Raw genomic sequence first — 17,044 nt, 5'->3', positions numbered from 1 at the left:
TTTGTCACCAATGTGCCATTAGCTCCTCTTTTATTCTATTGATCAATCAAGATTTTGTTACATTTCTCCACTGTTGTAAATTTTAACCTTGAGGACTATTTTTTTTTTTTAGAGGTAGGAGAGAAAGGGAAGGTAGAAGAAACAGAGTTCTGTTGAATTCAATTTCACTAGCTCCTTTCTAAGCAACCACAAATCATTCTGATAATTTTCTGCATGTCTATATTCCTTCATTGTCCTCTTTCATCCCCTCTTTTCAGTCCAATAGGCTATAGCAGTGGCAAGGGGTGAAAAAGCTAGGCAAAGTCCTTGCCTTCATGGAACTCTGAGAAATTCTCCTTCTCTAGGGCAAGCTTCTTTCTAATATATTTTAACTTAATCTTTTATGTGACAATCTCAATTTCTAACTCTTACAGGTCAGGCTCAGTTTTAAATAACTAACTTAGTTTTCCTATATGTACACTCAACACTTGATCAGACCATGTCTTCCAACTTCTGGTTTGGAAGATAGGATCACTATACTCATAAAATTTCTAGTTCATAAACTAAAATCACTGGGAACTTATTGGGGGAAGGTAATGTGGCATGGGTTTAAAGTCTAGTTATTTTTGTTTTTCAGGTAATTCATCCTTGCTACATAAAATTCAAGCAATGCAAAAAGGTAAAAATGAAAAAGTGAAGGTCTTACTCCCTAGATACGTTGTTTCTTATATTGTTACTCCCCAGATATATTGTTTCTTGTGGCTCCTTCTAGATATTTTCAACACATATACAGGCATATCTCCACGTCCCTCCCTTTCTCCACAAATGAAGTTGTTCTATACAGATTATTCAGTATTTTGTATTTGTCAATTAATATAGCTTAAATATATTTTCATGTCACTACTATGTCAATAATCCACATGTAGAGTTGAGGTATCAATCTGTCTGAAGTTGTCAGATAGATAACAAAAATTAGAGAAGTGGGTTGGATAGAAGAAGAAAATCCTCTTCTAAAAGAAAAATAAAGATGCAAATATGATGACAAATGGCAACTAACATTCAACTTCAGTGTCAGGAAGTAGCAGGGAGCAGTGAAGACTGTAGTGCACTGGGCCAAAGGGACAGACACTACTCAGCTCTAGCTATTGCTGCCATTGAGGAATGTGGGCTCAGTGTTGCCTAAGGCCAGAAATCTGGATTTTTATTTGAAATCTCTCAATTTTCAAATCTTGGCTCAAAAATAAAAAATAACCCAAACTCAAACCAAAACAAAAAACAAATGTGTGTATCATAGCAGCATTGTTCACAATAGCCAAAAGGCAGAAACAAACCTTTGTTGTCTCTCAATGGATTAATGGCTAAATGAAACATGATATATACACACAATGGGATATTACTCAGCCTTAAAATGGGAGGAAATTCTGACACATGCTACAACATGGATGAACTTTGAAAACATCATGCTATGTGAAATAAGCCAGACATAAGCATGATGGGAGGCAGAAGGTAGAATTGTGGTTGCCAGCAACCGTCAGGAGGAGAGACTGGGGAGTTATTATTTAACAGGTACAGAATTTCTATTTAAGATGATGACAAAGTTTTGGAAATGGATGGGGATGATAGTTACACAACATTGTGGATATACTAAATATCACTGAACTGCATGCTTAAAGGGTTAAAAGGGATTATTATGAAGATTAAATGAAATAATGTATCTATATTTTATCACAATAAAACCCAGAAAACAACTCACTTCAAGATATGTATACATATATTTTTTTAAAAAATCTGATATTTATTTTAGTTATTTTTGCTTAAAAACTTGGAAGTTGCTATGGTCTGAATGCTGGTGTCTCCTCTAAATTTATATGGTGAAACCTAATCTCCAATGTGTTAGTATTAAGAGGTGGAGCCTTAGGAGAGGATTAGGTCATGGGGGCTCTGCCCTCGGGGTGAGATTAGGTCCCTTATAAAGAAGTCTTGAGGAACCTGGGCAACATAGTGAGATTTCATCTCTTAAAAAATTAGCCTGTCATGGTGATGCACACCTGTAGTCTCAGCTACTCAGGTGGCTGAGGCAGGAGTTTCAGGCTGCAGTGAGCTGTGATCACACCACTGCACTACAGCCTGGATGACAGAGTGAGACGAGTGAGACCTAATTAAAAAAATAAAATAAAAAAAGAAAGAAAAGAGAAAGACTTTCTTGTTGTGAGGACACAGCAAGACGATGCCACCCATGAAGCAAGCCCTCACCAGCCACTGAATCTGCTGGGTCCTTGATGTTAGACTCCCAGCCTCCAGAGTGGTGAGCAGTACATTTCCGTTGTTTATAAATTACCCAATCTATTGGGTTTTAGCAATCTATTTTGTTACAGCAAGCCAAATGAATTAAGACAGAAGTCTTCTAAGCAAGATCATAGGTTCAAATCCATTTGATTAGTAATAAATTGCACCTGAAAAGTTGTAAAAAACCAAACAAAACTTCAGGCCAAATAAAACATGTTTGTAAGCCAGATGCAGTCATATTTTGCAATCTCTACATAGAGAGAATTTTTAAAGTGTTGCAAGAATAAAGTTTAAGGCAGAAATCAAAAGGATTACTGGTTGTCCAGGTTAGCATTTTCAAGAATTTCAGGAAATGAAGAATTTAAGGAATTTAAATGAGATGAGAGATTTTCCCTTCACTAAATTAGGGAGTAAATGTCAAAATAAAGATTTTTTTAAGGCAATAAGGATGAATTTAGGATGATCTAGCCTGGAAAGTATAATATAGTATGACTACCAAGAACACAGATATGAGAGCCATGCTGTCTGAGATTTATAAGCCTTGGTTTATTAGGCAATTTATAAGCCTTGGTTTCCTAATCTGTAAAATGAGGGAAATAATTGTGCCTACCTTCCAAGACTATTATAAGTATTAAATAGAATAATATATGTAAAGTGCTTAACACATACTAAACTTTTCATGTGTTAGGGGTGCTCATAAATGACACCCATGCATACCCATAATCCACCAACCTCTACCCTCAGCCAGTTTCTGAAACAATTGAGAAATAGAGGTGCTGGGCAAAAATATCCTTTTATTAATAATAAAGGTCATGTTGGTGGATGTGGTTTAGGTATGAGGCAAAAATGTGCTTCCTCATACAGAACCTAGAATTAGACAGACTTACCTGTCACAAGCAGTGCTGGTCAGCCATTGGCCTCTCCCTACAGGACCAAGGTCTGTTCCTGTATGGTTTATGGCACGGAGAAGCAGGCAGAAAGTATGTTCTTTATAGGCAGACAAATCCCAAAAGGGACAGGGCTATGAGTCCTCCTTTCTGGGGGAGAATAAATGAGGGGACAGAGGGACTCCAGGAATGTTACTCACATTGGACTCTCCACATGAAAGAAGCATTAAGGGGAGGCGTAGGTGCTTCCCTCTCCTATTAACGTTCACGAAATGTACTTTAAAAATACACTTTGCTTGTAAAATTTTAATTTTGAAGGGTTTAAGTTACTAATAAAGCACTCAAAATATTTAGAATATTAATATTTCCTCATAAGATATCTTACCAAAATAAGTCTTTGAAATGAAGTGAGTTTCTCCCAGGGAAAATTTATAGGATTACACGTTTCTTTATTTTCATTCAAAAGTTCAGCTAGATATAATTTAGAGAAAGAAACTGGCATTAACAGTCAAATACTTTTTATCATTAAAACATATCACAATGAAAATTTCTGTCATAAAATTGTGACTTTTTTTTTTTTCTAAACATGGCTGACTTTTAAAGTGAGCTTTATTTCTATAAGCTTTGAGGCATCACTAGCTATGCTTCACACCTCAAAAGAGGGAGATGTTAAGATAGATTTAAGTTTCAACTTGGACCAACTGAAGTGGTGAATGAATAGTAATATAACAAGATGATGGACAGATGAAGAAATAAAATGAGAAGCCAAAGGCATAGCCAGCCAACACATCATAACCTGTTCCTGTATATGTGGTGTTTTTCTGATGAATGTAAACTAGTAAGTGTAGAGGTTGGAGGTTTCTATTCATAATCCAGCTATAACGATATGGGAAATGAGAATCAAATGAAAATGCAACCAGATTATCAAATTTTTGAAAAATTAAATATTATATCTACCTACATATATTTAATACTGACCCCTCTTACCACCACAATAGAGTCCTACTGGATTACAATTTTTTGCAAGGTGGGAAGCCTTCTAGTCTTCATTTCCAGCTCTCCCAGATACACTTATCATTTCTACTTACCTCTTATTTCTATGGTATTTTCCCAATGTCTAACTTTAAATACAAATTAGGTTATAGAAACGGCTTTTTTGAATGCAGATAATATTGATGTGTTGATCTTAAAAAAAGTTCATGATACATGAAGGTATAGTTATAAATGGATAATTTGGGGTTATTTGCAAAATAAAAAGATCTTCACTTTACAAAAAGGGTCAATAAAGAATTCTTTTAAATAAAAGTAACTGACTCTTACAGTATAATAAATTATGGGTCCCAAATATATTAGTGATAAACGCAACAAAATAAAAAGATAATGACTCAAAGAGAGAAAACTGTGGGAGGAGGAGACCTTCTTAATAAGAACTTGAAATCAAGAATGTTTAAAGGAAGAAAATAGACATAATTGACTATACAAACATTTAAACGCATATAGCATAGGTACTATAAAAACAAATTCAATAGACAATAAAAAATTCAGAAAAATATTTGAATATAGATGTTAATACATATAATAAGACAAAAGCAAATTATTTATAACACTAATGGGAGTTTAAACTTTACAGATGGGCAAAATTTAAAAAAAATCAATACTCCTATGGAAAATGGGCATTCATATTGCTGGTGGAAATATAAGTTATCATAGACTTTTCAAGAAAGCAACTTGGCAGCAACTGTTAACATAAAAATAATTTCCTTTTGTTCCAGCAATTCCACTTCTGATTATTTATCTTACAGAAATAAAAGCAAAGGAAAAATGTATAAGGATGTTTATGTTATTGCATAATATAATTGTCTATTTTGGCAAAAATCAGGAAGTGAAGTAGAGAAAAATGTGGAAGGAAACAAATTAGGTTGTATTCTGAGTGGGGGTGTTATGAGTGAAGGTAGTAGCGAAAAACGGAGGAGAGTTCGAAGTGGAAAAAGAAAAAGCAAAAGATGTGCTAAAAATAGTAAGTCATTTGAATTTAAGGTAAGATCCTTTCCCATGTAATTTTAAAAACACACATTTGTTAAAATGAATGAAATATGTAGGTTTGTTCAGATTCAAGGTTCAAAACTAGCCTGGTGTAATGAAACTAGTGTGGTGTATTTAATCTCTCTGAAATTCTGATTTCTAATCAGATTTTCTCGTGAAGTTCATTATAATCCTTTCAGGGATTGTTATGAGGATTATAATGAATAACATGTGCATGCTGAAAATGTAGTTATAGTCCTCCCTTCAATTTTTTCATAATGTAAGATAATGTACGACATTTACAAATTGAAAATCCATACACATACACACATACTTAAGTTAGGTTAAAACACTGAATGCTTTCTTACTTTCCTCTGGTGGTTTTGTATTTTCCTCCAATGAAGCATTTTCTGAAGAGAAAGGTGTGCTGATCAGAGAATAAACTGCTTTACTGTTCTTAAAAGTATCCCATTGTGATACGTTTGATAAAAGGGATTTGCACAGAAGTGAAAATGGTTCCAGGTGAGTGCTGACATATTGGCACTGCCTCCACCTGGAATCTGACAGCCACTGAAGATGTTGACTTTCACCTATTTCAAATGTGCCTGATAAAAAAAGAAAGATGATCACATTAGAAGAGATAAACCTTTACCTTTTAGTTATTCATTACAAAGTAGATACTTGACAAAGATGTACTGTTAAGGCTATTTCATATAAAAATTACTTCATAGAAATAAAAATATATTTTACATAAAATATAAAAAGCTACTTTATATAAAAATTACGTAAGAGGTAATTGTTTTTATTGTGGTAAAAATATAAGTAAATTTATCATGTAAACCTTTTTTGTTTTTGTTTTTTGAGACAGAGTCTCATTCTGTCACCCAGGATGGAATGCAGTGGCACGATCACTGCTCACTGCAACATTTGCTTCCCGGTTCCAAGTGATTATTGTGCCTCAGCCTCACAAGTAGCTGGGATTATAGGTGTGTGCCACAATGCCCAGCTAATTTTTGTGTTTTTTGCCATGTTGGCCAGGCTGGTCTCAAACTCCTGGCCTAAAGTGATCTGCCCCCAATCTTGACCTCCCAAAGTGTTGGGATTACAGGCATGAGCCACTGCACCCAGCCAATCTTAACCATTCTTAAGTGTACAGTTCAGTAGTGTTAAATATATTCATACTGTTGTGAAACTGAGAATAAACTCTAGTTGGTTATGGTGTACAGTCCTCTTAATGTGCTGTTGAATTTGGTTTGTTAGTATTTTGCTGAGGATTTTTGCATCAATGTTATTCAGAAATATTGGTCTGTAGTTTACTTGTAGTATCTTTGTCTGGCTTTAGTATCAGAATAATGCTGGCCTCACAGAATGAGTTAGGAAGTGTTTCTGTCTCTTCAATTTTTTGAAAGAGCTTCAGGAAAATTTATGTTAATTTTTAAATATTTGGTAGAATTCAATGAAGCCATCTGGTCCTAAAATTTTCTTTTTTTTTTGGCAGTGTTTGATTACCAGTTCAATCTCCTTGTTATTGGTGTGTTCAGATTTTCTATTTGTTCATGATTCAGTCTCGGTAGACTACAAGGAATTTATCCATTACTTCTAGGTTATCCAATTCATTGGCATACAATTGTTCATGGTAGTCTTTTAGAAATCTTTTTATTTCTCTGCATCTACTTTAATGTCGTCCCTTTCTTTCCTGATTTTTATTTTTTGCATCTTCTCTCTTTTTTCTTAGTTAACTGAGCTCAAGGTTTGCAAATTTTATTGATCTTTTCAAAACACCAACCTTTAGTTTTGTTTATTTTTTTTCTATTCTCTATTTTGTTTATCACTGCTTTAGTCTTTATTATTTCAATCCTTTTGCTAGCTTTGGGTTTAATATGTTGTTTTTCTAGTTTCTTGAGGTAAAATTTAAGTACACTTTCTTCTTTTTTAATGTAGGTATTTACAGTTATAAACTTTCATCTTAGCACTGCTTTCAATGTATCCCCTAAGTTTTAATATGTCACATTTTCATTTGTCTCTAAGTATTTTCTAATTTCCCTTGTGATTTAGTCTTTGACCTATTGGGTGTTTAAGAGTGTGTTAATTTCTACATGTTTGTGGATTTTTCAGTTTTCATTCTGTTGATTTCTAGTATCATTCCACTGTGTTTGGCAAATACACTTGGTATGACTTCTTGAATTTGTTAAGACTTGTTTTATGGTCTAACATGTGGTCTATCTGGGGAATGTTTTTGTGCACTTAAGAAGAATGTATATCCTGCTGTTATTGGGAAGACAGTTCTGTGTATGTCTGTTTGATCCAGTTGATCTATAGTGTTGTGCAAGTCCTCTATTTCCTTATGACCTTCTGTTTCATTGTTTTATTCGCTATTGAAAATGGGGTACTGAAGTCTCCTACTATTATTGGGTCGCTGTCTTATTTCTCCCTTCAATTTGTCAAAGTTTGCTTCACGTATTTGGGAGCTCTGAGGTTTAGTGAATAAGCATTTATTACTACATATCTTCTTGGTGAATTGACCCTTTTATCATTATCTCATGTCTGTCTTTGTCTTTTGTAACAGTTTTGATTTCACGTTTACTTCATCTGATATTAGTACAACCACTCCTACTCTCTTTGGTTACCACTTGCATGGAATATTTTTCTCCATTCTTGCATTGTCAGCCTATATGTTTCTTTAGATGTGAGTCTCCTGTAGACAGCATATAGTTGGATACTGTTTTTTAAATTAATTCAGCCAATCTATGCCTTTTTATTGAAGATTTTAATCCATTTAAATTTAAAGTAATTACTCACAGGGAAGGAATTACTATTGCCATTTGTTGTTTTCTGTATGTCTTGTAACTTTCTCCCTTCCTGTCCTCTTTTATTGCCTTTTTCGGTATTTTATTGATCTTTGTGGTGATATACTTTGATTCCCTTCTCAGTTTGTTTTGTGCATATTCTATAGATATTTTCTTTGTGGTTACTATTGCAATTACATAATTTAATCTTAATTTTATAGCATTCTATTTTAAACTGACAACAACTTAACTTCAGTCCCATACAAAAATTCTACTGCCAGCCTGGGCAACATAGTGAGACCTCGTCTCTACCAAAAATTTAAAAAAATTAGCTGGGTATGGTGGCATGTGCCTGCAGTCCCAGCTACTTGGGAGGTGAGGTGAGAGGATCACTTAAGCCCAGAAGTTGGAGGCTACAGTGAGCTATGATCCCATCACTGTATTCTAGCCTGGGTGACAGTGAGACTATGTCTCAAAAAAAGAAATCAAAATCTACTAATTTAGGGCTTTAGCACCACCCCTTATGTTATTGATGTCACAAGTTACATTTTTATATATTGCATATCCATTAACATAATTATAGATTAAAAAATGTTTTTGTAACTTAAGTTACATTCACCAAAATTACAATAGTACAGGTTACTATCTTTATCCACATATTTACCTTTTCTGAAGAACCTTACATTTTTCACATGGTTTCATGTTACTGTGTATTATCCTTTTGCTTCAACTTAAAGGAGTTTCTTTAGCATTCCTTGTAGAGCAGTTCTAGTGGTAATAAACTCCCTCATGTTTGTTTATCTGAGAAACCTTAATTTTTGTTTCATTTTTGAAGGGCAGTTTTGACACATACAGTATTATTGGTTGAGAGTTTTTTCTTTTAGCACTTTGAATATATATCTCACTCCCTCTAGTTTGCAAAGTTTTTCCTGAGAAATCACTGGTAATCATACAGAAGCTCCCTTGTATGTACAAATAACTTTTCTCTTGCTGCTTTCAAGATTCTGTCATTGTCTTTGACTTTAGACAGTTTGATTATAATGTGTCTTGGTGTGTTTCTTTTTGGATTTATCCTAGTGGAGTTCTTTGAACTCTTGAACCTGTATGTTTTTTTCTTTCCTTAGATTTGGGAAGTATTTAGCGATTGTTTCTTCAAAGAATTTCTCTACCCTTTTCTCTCTTTTTTTCTTCTTCTGGGAGTGCCATATTGCATATATTGGTCAACTTAACAGCATCCTATAAGTCTCTTAGGATCTCTTTGCTTTTTAATTTTTTATTTTCTTTGCTCTTCTGACTCGATAATTTCAAATGACCTGTCTTCAAGTTTGCTGATTCTTTGTTCTGTCTGATTAAGTCTGCTGTTGAACCCCTGTAATAATTTTTCAGTTCAGTTTTTGCATTTTTCAGCTTCAGAATTTGTTTCATTCTTTTTTATAGTTTTTATGTCTTTGCTGATATTCTCATTTTGTTCATGCATCATTTAACTGACTTTATTTAGTTCTCTGTTATTTATTTATTTATTTTAGCTCATTGAGCAACTTTATGACAGTTATTTAAAATTCCTTGTCAGGCAGCCCATAGATCTGCATTTCTGTGGGACTCGTTTCTGGAGTTTCATTTTGTTCCTCTGATTGGGCCATTTCCCCCTGTGTCTTTGTTTGCCTTATGTATCTTTTTTTCCAGGATTGGCATTTGAAAAATTGACCACTTTTCCCAGTCTTTGGTATTGGCTTCGTGCAGGGGAAAACCCTCACCAATCAGCCTAGTTGGAGGTTCTAAGACCTTTTTAACCTTTTCTAATCCCTTGCTCCTCCTAAGTTCTCCCTGTGAAACTGCAGGTCTAATGTGCTGCTTGCATCTGGATTTTAGTGGCTTCCAAACTCTGATGCCAGTCTTATCAATATTCTGAGTCAGGCAAGACAAAAACTAGTCCCTTGGGAGGCCCCTAGACAAGCCAGAACACTGGATGCACTGTCTACTCTTTTGTTTCTATCCGAGGGAGGAACTCTGTAATGGGGGGATTTCCTGTCAGTTGTTCCACATTATACCACAAAGAGGGGGAGGCATGAATAGGCATGTGTCAAATGATGCAAAATTTCCTACCCCTTTCACTGGAATCTCTTCTCGGTTTTACAATAGCCTGGATGCTGTAGCTTCTCAACTGATCTCTAGAGTTCTCACAGAGGTATTCTGATCTGTATATTGTTGTTAACTTGGTATCTCTGTGAAGGAAGGGAGCCTATAGCATCCTAGTCTGCCATCTTGCAGACTTAAAACTTACAACACAGCATAACAACGTGACTGTATTTAATGTCACTTAAAAATTGAGATGATAAATTCTGTTATATGTATTTGACCACAGTTTAGACAATAAACATATTAAAAATACAACATAGAAACATTTAGAAGATTCAATAATTAAATAATTGTGTCTAACCTTTTTGGATAAACATGCTTTTTGTGTTTCAAATTTTCAACCAGGTTTTCGTAAGAAAGTGAGGGCAACTCTAATTGGGGTGTGGGGGAAGGTTTAACTCCTGAAGGTATCCAATCAATGTTTATGTTTGGGTGTGTTCCTGTTGACTACCATTAGATATTCTGCTTTGTAGGTTAGGATTATAATAATCATAGTAATTATCATTTATGTATTCATTCATTCATTAAAAAATTATTGAGTAACAGTGGAGGTGCTTGACCTCAAGCTACTTTTACTTTAATCAATTATAGAGGCATTGACTTGGAGCACCTTAGAGGAAGGAAACACACTTTTAATGGACTTTTACTGAATCCGGAATAGTAACTTTTACTTACTAGTAAGTCTAGACTGGGATAATGCACTTTTAATATTTATCAATATGCCAGAATATAAAAAGATGTTCCATTCTTCTTCTGGTAGGAATCCAATGTCATCCTGTATTAGATTTCCATTAGCATTGTTTTGCATGATTACAGTGCAAAGCCGAAAAGAGAAGCAAAGTTTATCTTCATTAAATAGAGCTGAAGAAACCACCTATAGGGAAAATATAACATATTAATCCAGTGAGATTAAATAAGCATGTAAAATTCACACTAAAGAATATCTCACCTTAAAAATACTTTTTGTCAACATGTCTATTGCACTTTTAATATGCTTATCTAAGAGATTTTTCTCATTTTCCAGGTTGGGTTCTTTTGAAATACTTATAAACTCATGAACTTCTTTTGGAGACACTTTCTCCCTTTTAAAACTATGTTCTTGTTCTTTGCTTTTGGAAACTACTGATGAAACAAAAACCTGATGAAACCAGTCTAGGGAGAACTGGTACATGTAGTTGATTTGTGTGAGATCAGCTACTAGGAAGTAGAGCAGGGCGCCTCGGGTCGCAATGGGGAGATAGTTTTTACGTATTGCTTGGATTTCACTTTCAGCTTTTTTTGTTGCTTCGATGCGCTTTGAAATTTCGTTTGATGTCATTTTGGATTTTCTTAAGGTATCTACAATTTTGTCATCATCTAATATGGATCCTAAAGACAAACAAAAAGTGAAGTTAAATAAAGACTATTGTAACAGTAAATGGCTATTTCCTCACTCTGCACTCTTTGTGTAAGGGTTTGTACTGTTGGCTTCTTATTGGCTTTATGTCAGAGACGGGCTCTTAAATGAAGTTAGGTAATATTTCTAATAAGAATTTGATTAATAAATTTGATTAATAGTACGTACACCTCACTTCCCACTCCGTCATCTCTTCTTTATATTACTTTAGTATTGGTGGATCCTATTTTTTTTACAGGCATATGATAAGCAACCATTCCATGATAAGGAATACATTTACAGTATGACCCACTATACACATAGAATATTAAAATCAATTTTCAAAAAATAACAAGTGTGCCATTATTTTACGTGATTTATTCTGATATTTTGTATTGTATTCTATTTTATTAAACATATGAAACTGATCATGACCAATGACATTTATTTCTCAACCCACTAATAGATTGCAACTCACCTTTTGAAAAAGCACTTCTCTAGAAAGTATAGATAATAAATCTATTCCCTTCAAATATTTAAGGGAGCTCTCAGGTTTCCATTATAAACTCTTCTGTTTTGTGGGCTAAACATTCCCATTTTCCTCAACTGCTTTTTTCTTATGATATGATTTTTAGAGCCCTCACTATCTTTGATTCTTGCCCTTGGACACATTTTAGTTTGAAACAAGCCTTTTAAAAATGTGGCATCTAGAACTAAACACAGTATTTCAGCTTGATATGACCATTGCTGGGAATAATGAAATTAGTATATACCACAGTCTGTGTACCATATTCTTACTGATGCAGGTGAAGCTTTTGCAGTAATGTCTGGACCTAAGTCATGGACCATCTCTCACAGTACTCACCCTACCACACCATTTCCCACCGAGTTTGGGCAATCAACCAAAGAGAAAACAAGAGGCAACAAGAATGGCTAGTTTCTGGCCAGGTGTGGTGGCTCACACCTGTAATCTCAGCACTTTGGGAGGCCCAGGCAGGCGGATCATGAGGTCAAGAGATCGAGACCATCCTGGCCAACATGGTGAAAACCCTTCTTTACTAAAAATACAAAAATTAGCTGGGTGTGATGGTGCACACCTGTAGTCCCAGCTACTTGGGAGGCTGAGGCAGGAGAATCACTTGAACCTGGGAGGTGGAGGTTGCAGTGAGCTGAGATTGTGCCACTGCACTCTAGTGTGGCAATGGAGTGAAACACTGTCTCAATAAATAAATAAATAAATAAATAAATAAATAAATAAATAAAAGAATGGCTAGTTTTCACTATTCACAATAGCTAAGGCATGTAATCAACCTAAATGCCCATCAATGATAGACTGGATGAAGAAAATGTGGTACATACACACCATGGAATACGATGCAGTCATAAAAAAGAACAAGATCATGTCCTTTGCAGGGACATGGACTGAGCTGGAGGCCATTATCCTTAGCAAACTAACACAGAAACACAAAACTAAACACTGCATATTTTCATTTATAAGTGGGAACTAAATGATGAGAACACATGGACACATAGAGGGGAACAACAGATACAGGAACCGATTAGAGGGTAGTGAGTAGGAGAAGGGAGAGAATCAGGAAAATAACTAATGGGTACTGGGCTTAATACCTGAGTGATGACATAATCTGTACAACAAACCCCCATGACACAAGTTTACCTATGTAACAAACCTGCACTTGTAGCCTTGAACTTAAAAGTTAAAAAAAAAAAAAAGCCCAGTTTTACCAAATCCTAGAAAGGAGGAGGAAAAATTATGTATATAATCAAGGCATCTCTTAATTTAGTTTTTTTCAAGAACAATTTTTACTAAAACCACTATTACTCAAAGATCACAGTCTTTAAAAAATACCCCAGACTCTACTACAAGGAACAAATGGTAGAGAATAAACAGCAAAGGCACAATAAAAGCATATAGTGCCCTAATGTGTGTTATCTTAAACCCCTTTTCACTTATCTCATCAAATCCATCTTTTGTTCAATTCAGGTGAAGGTTATAGCAAAATATGACTTGTTATAAGAGTGGTTCATAAAATGGGAGTGGCTGTGCTTCTGAATCTTGATTGTCACCTTCTATGTATATTATATAATACTTAGATATTTTGCTCCCTAAGAAGTTACCAGCAGATGGCTCCAGTCTTACAAAAAAAACAGATACAGAAGCCTTGTCCATGTAATTAGCCTTATTACTAGAAACACAATTTATTCATGTGTTATAAAGAAACAGTTTATTAGGTATAATTAACATTGAAAAGGAATAAAGTCAGGTCCTCTAGGCATAAATGTGTATTTAAAATTTCATAATAAAAAATATGCTTCTAAGTGAGGATTTGCCTGTATTTCTAATATAAAATATAATTAAGCTCTTTTTTTTGTAAACATGGTTGCAAAAATTGAGTTACAGACTTTATTTCTCTTAAAAATTCTCCATTTAACACATATCTCTTTTTGGAATTGGGTCAAGACAATGGCACGTTAAGGCAACAACACTCAGGAGGATCCTAGGAGGAAAGGCATGCCCTCCCCACTACTTTCCCTACTTAAGTTTTTGTTTGTTTGAGGCTTTAAACAAAATGTAAAGTCTCGTAAGGTCTTAATCATTTCCCCAAACTAAGGCAGTTGTATGCCATAAAAACGTAAGTTCTTTGTCAAAGGTTAAGAACATGCTGAACAAGTCAGTGTTTTCTGCACATCTTAGCAGACCTTAAAGAGGCAATACTGGAACTCCCCATCACAGTTATTCTTGTTTTGGCCACAGGTCTCAGCAAAGTGCTGTTACTTGCAGCAATTTGTTAGGGAAGAAATATCAACATTAAGGTAAATGTCTAACAGTGGGGACCTACATCCTTCCGGTGGGGAAAAGTTTGTAACTACAATGTGGGAACGGCTTAAATTCATCACTGCACTGATACAAGACATTGCACTGATACAAGACAGGCAGATCTGTCTTGCTTCCGGGAAGTCCAAGGCAGCGTGGTGAATGTGGTTCCAGCTCTGGATGATAAGGAATGGGCTACCACCTAGTAGCACCTGTGAGCGCCGGCCAAGAGGAGGGGCAAGAGGGCAAGTGTGGACCCAGGCTGTGAGGGGTGGGGGTGGGACCCATGGCATCCCCGCCCCAAAAGTTCCAGTGTTAACACATAGGTAACATCATCCAAAGTATCTCTCTCTATACATATGTGCAGATAGAAGGGTAAGTGAATAGATTGATAAATAGAATGTGTGTGTGTGTGTGTGTGTGTGTGTGTGTGTGTGTTTATGAGAAATGGATCTTACTATAAATACTGTGTTTTAAGTGACTAGTAAATTTACCTTTACTGGCATTAAGAAAAAGAATCAATGGAATTGATGAATCTCAGATAAACATTTCTTGAATATAATATATATTAGTTTCTAAAACATTCTTCTAAGGTTATAAGAAAAGATGATGAAAGCAATTAAAGAATTCAACCTTTACTTTAAAAAATAAAAATATATATTTAATTTTAAACAGGATGGATTGACTTCTCTGCATGAACTGTGAGGTGACTGTACTCAGGTTTCCTTCCACTTTCTGATTTTGATTGCTCATTCAGTGAGACCTCATCAGCAAGTAGTTTTTATTTGTTTTGTTTTTAATTCCCTGGGTTCTTTTATGTTTGAAATGGTCAATATTGCTCCCAGGATATGGGTGCTTCATGCCCTATCAAACTTGGTTTCCTCCCCTTTCAAAAATTATATTCTTATTATTACTATTGGTAAAATTTTGCCTTTTTAAAAAAACTAGCTTTTAATTTGTTTTACTACAGTATCTGGTAACAAATGGACTTGCCTTTCAGACCATGGGCTTTAGATTAGACAAATAATATGTAATCAGAAGTGGACATTATAATTGTGTAGAGAGCTTCGAAAATAAATATAAGCCAGGGCCCGATGTGCGGAAGTTCAGATTCAGTAAGTCTGTGGCGGTACCCACTGGGCATTTGTATTTTTTAAAAAGAAAGAAAGGTAATAAACTCTACAGATGATTTCTATACATACTCTTGAGGACTAAAGTGTTTGAGAAACCTTCAAGTTCCAGTGAGTCACAAGTTAAAATAGAAAGGCAGTCCATTGTTAGATAAACTGTATTTTATCACAGTTGACTTAGGGGCATACATCAGTGTGACTCAGGAATTTATGTTTCTTTAAGTTTAGATGCAGTAAAGATTGTGGTTTCTTAGATATTTTTTGTGCTGAAGAAGAAAATAATTTCTACTGCTACTTTAATTAAAAGCTTTTTTTGTTTGTTTGTTTGAAGGAGTTTTGCTCTTCTAACCCAAGCTGGAGTGCAATGGCACCATCTTGACTCACCGCAACCTCCATCTCCTGGGTTCAAGCAATTCTCCTGTCTCAACCTCCCAAGTAGCTGGGATTACAGGCATGCGCCACCAAGTCTGGCTAATTTTGTATTTTTAGTAGAGACGGGGTTTCTCCATGTTGGTCAGGCTGGTGTATTTTTAGTAGAGATGGGGTTTCTCCATGTTGGTCAGGCTGGTCTCGAACTCCTGACCTCGGGTGATCCACCTGCTTCGGCCTCCCAAAGTGTTGGGATTACAGGCGTGAGCCACCGTGCCCGGCCAACAGCATGTTTTAATGGGATACATAAAAGTCACTGGATTATTTTCTTTAAAAATATCTTTTAGTTATTAAGTCGGGTGTGGTGGCATGCGCTGGTAATCCCAGGTACTCAGGAAGTTGAGGCTGGAGAATTGCTGGAATCCAGGAGGCGGAGGTTGCAGTGAGCCGAGATTGCGCCACTGCACTCCAGACTGGGTGATGGAGTAAGACTGTCTAAAAAAAATAAAAAATAAAGAAAAATAAAATAAAATATCTTTTCATTATTAATACTTGGGGAAAACCCAATCATTGAGTCTCTGTAATCTAACTTGAGACATATAACAGATGTCTGTACCTGAAGTACAGGCATAGAGCCTTGGAGGGAACTAACTAGATTCCGTAAGATTTGTCTTAGAACTTATACCAGTTACAGGGTGGCAAATGTTCTACAACACAATGAGCTGAAGCAAAAGTGGAACTGAGGGACACCAAAATTCACAATATTTAAGTTTAGAAATGGGGTGATTCACCTACCTTTATCAGTTACCTGGTGGAAATGGAGATTTGGTATTTTTGGCTCAAATTCAAAATTTGGTTCTTATAACTTTTTATTCTATCCTTTGCAAAGATCTCTTACTATCACTAAATATCTTGACTTACCTAGTGCTTTCTGCAGTAAATTTAATGTTTTTTCCTCTAGTTCTTCAAGAGTTATGGCATCAAGGGAAATACTCTCCAGTAACTTGGAACGTTGATCTTCTAAATGAGGAACTTCATGAGTTACCACAGTAGACAAGAGTTGATCTTGCAAACCTTGGAATGTTACAGTGAAGTTGATCATAGTAACAAAGTTATAAACTGATGGAAGAAAATGGGGGTTGTCTATTTCTGTAGATAAGTATAACCTGAACATGAGAAAGGCACCAGTTATTCAAAGAACATGTAGAAGAAAAAAATGAACCAATTTATTTAAAAATACA

At 35.2% G+C, this 17,044-nt stretch overlaps 1 protein-coding gene across 26 annotated transcripts in view; it reads right to left on the bottom strand.

Annotated features, from left to right (window-relative positions):
* Positions 1-17,044, bottom strand: part of DNAH14 (dynein axonemal heavy chain 14) — a 469,633-nt gene that overhangs the window by 41,861 nt on the left and 410,728 nt on the right. For 24 of the 26 annotated variants that reach the window (XM_011544062.3, XM_011544067.3, XM_011544065.3 and 21 more), the window contains 5 exons: positions 16,725-16,969; positions 11,046-11,464; positions 10,772-10,970; positions 5,543-5,779; positions 3,538-3,623 (listed from right to left, as the gene is read on the bottom strand). In XM_011544062.3, coding sequence (XP_011542364.1) covers positions 3,538-3,623; positions 5,543-5,779; positions 10,772-10,970; positions 11,046-11,464; positions 16,725-16,969 — 1,186 coding nt within the window. Of the gene's footprint in view, positions 1-2,640; positions 3,303-3,537; positions 3,624-5,542; positions 5,780-10,771; positions 10,971-11,045; positions 11,465-16,724; positions 16,970-17,044 lie in introns of those variants that run through there. The other 2 variants (XM_017000298.2, XM_017000296.2) reach the window with 2 other exon arrangements.

This window comes from Homo sapiens, chromosome 1 (assembly GCF_000001405.40).
Source record: "Homo sapiens chromosome 1, GRCh38.p14 Primary Assembly".
Classification (NCBI taxonomy): Eukaryota; Metazoa; Chordata; class Mammalia; order Primates; family Hominidae; genus Homo; species Homo sapiens.
This window is presented reverse-complemented; position numbering and strand designations above follow the sequence as displayed.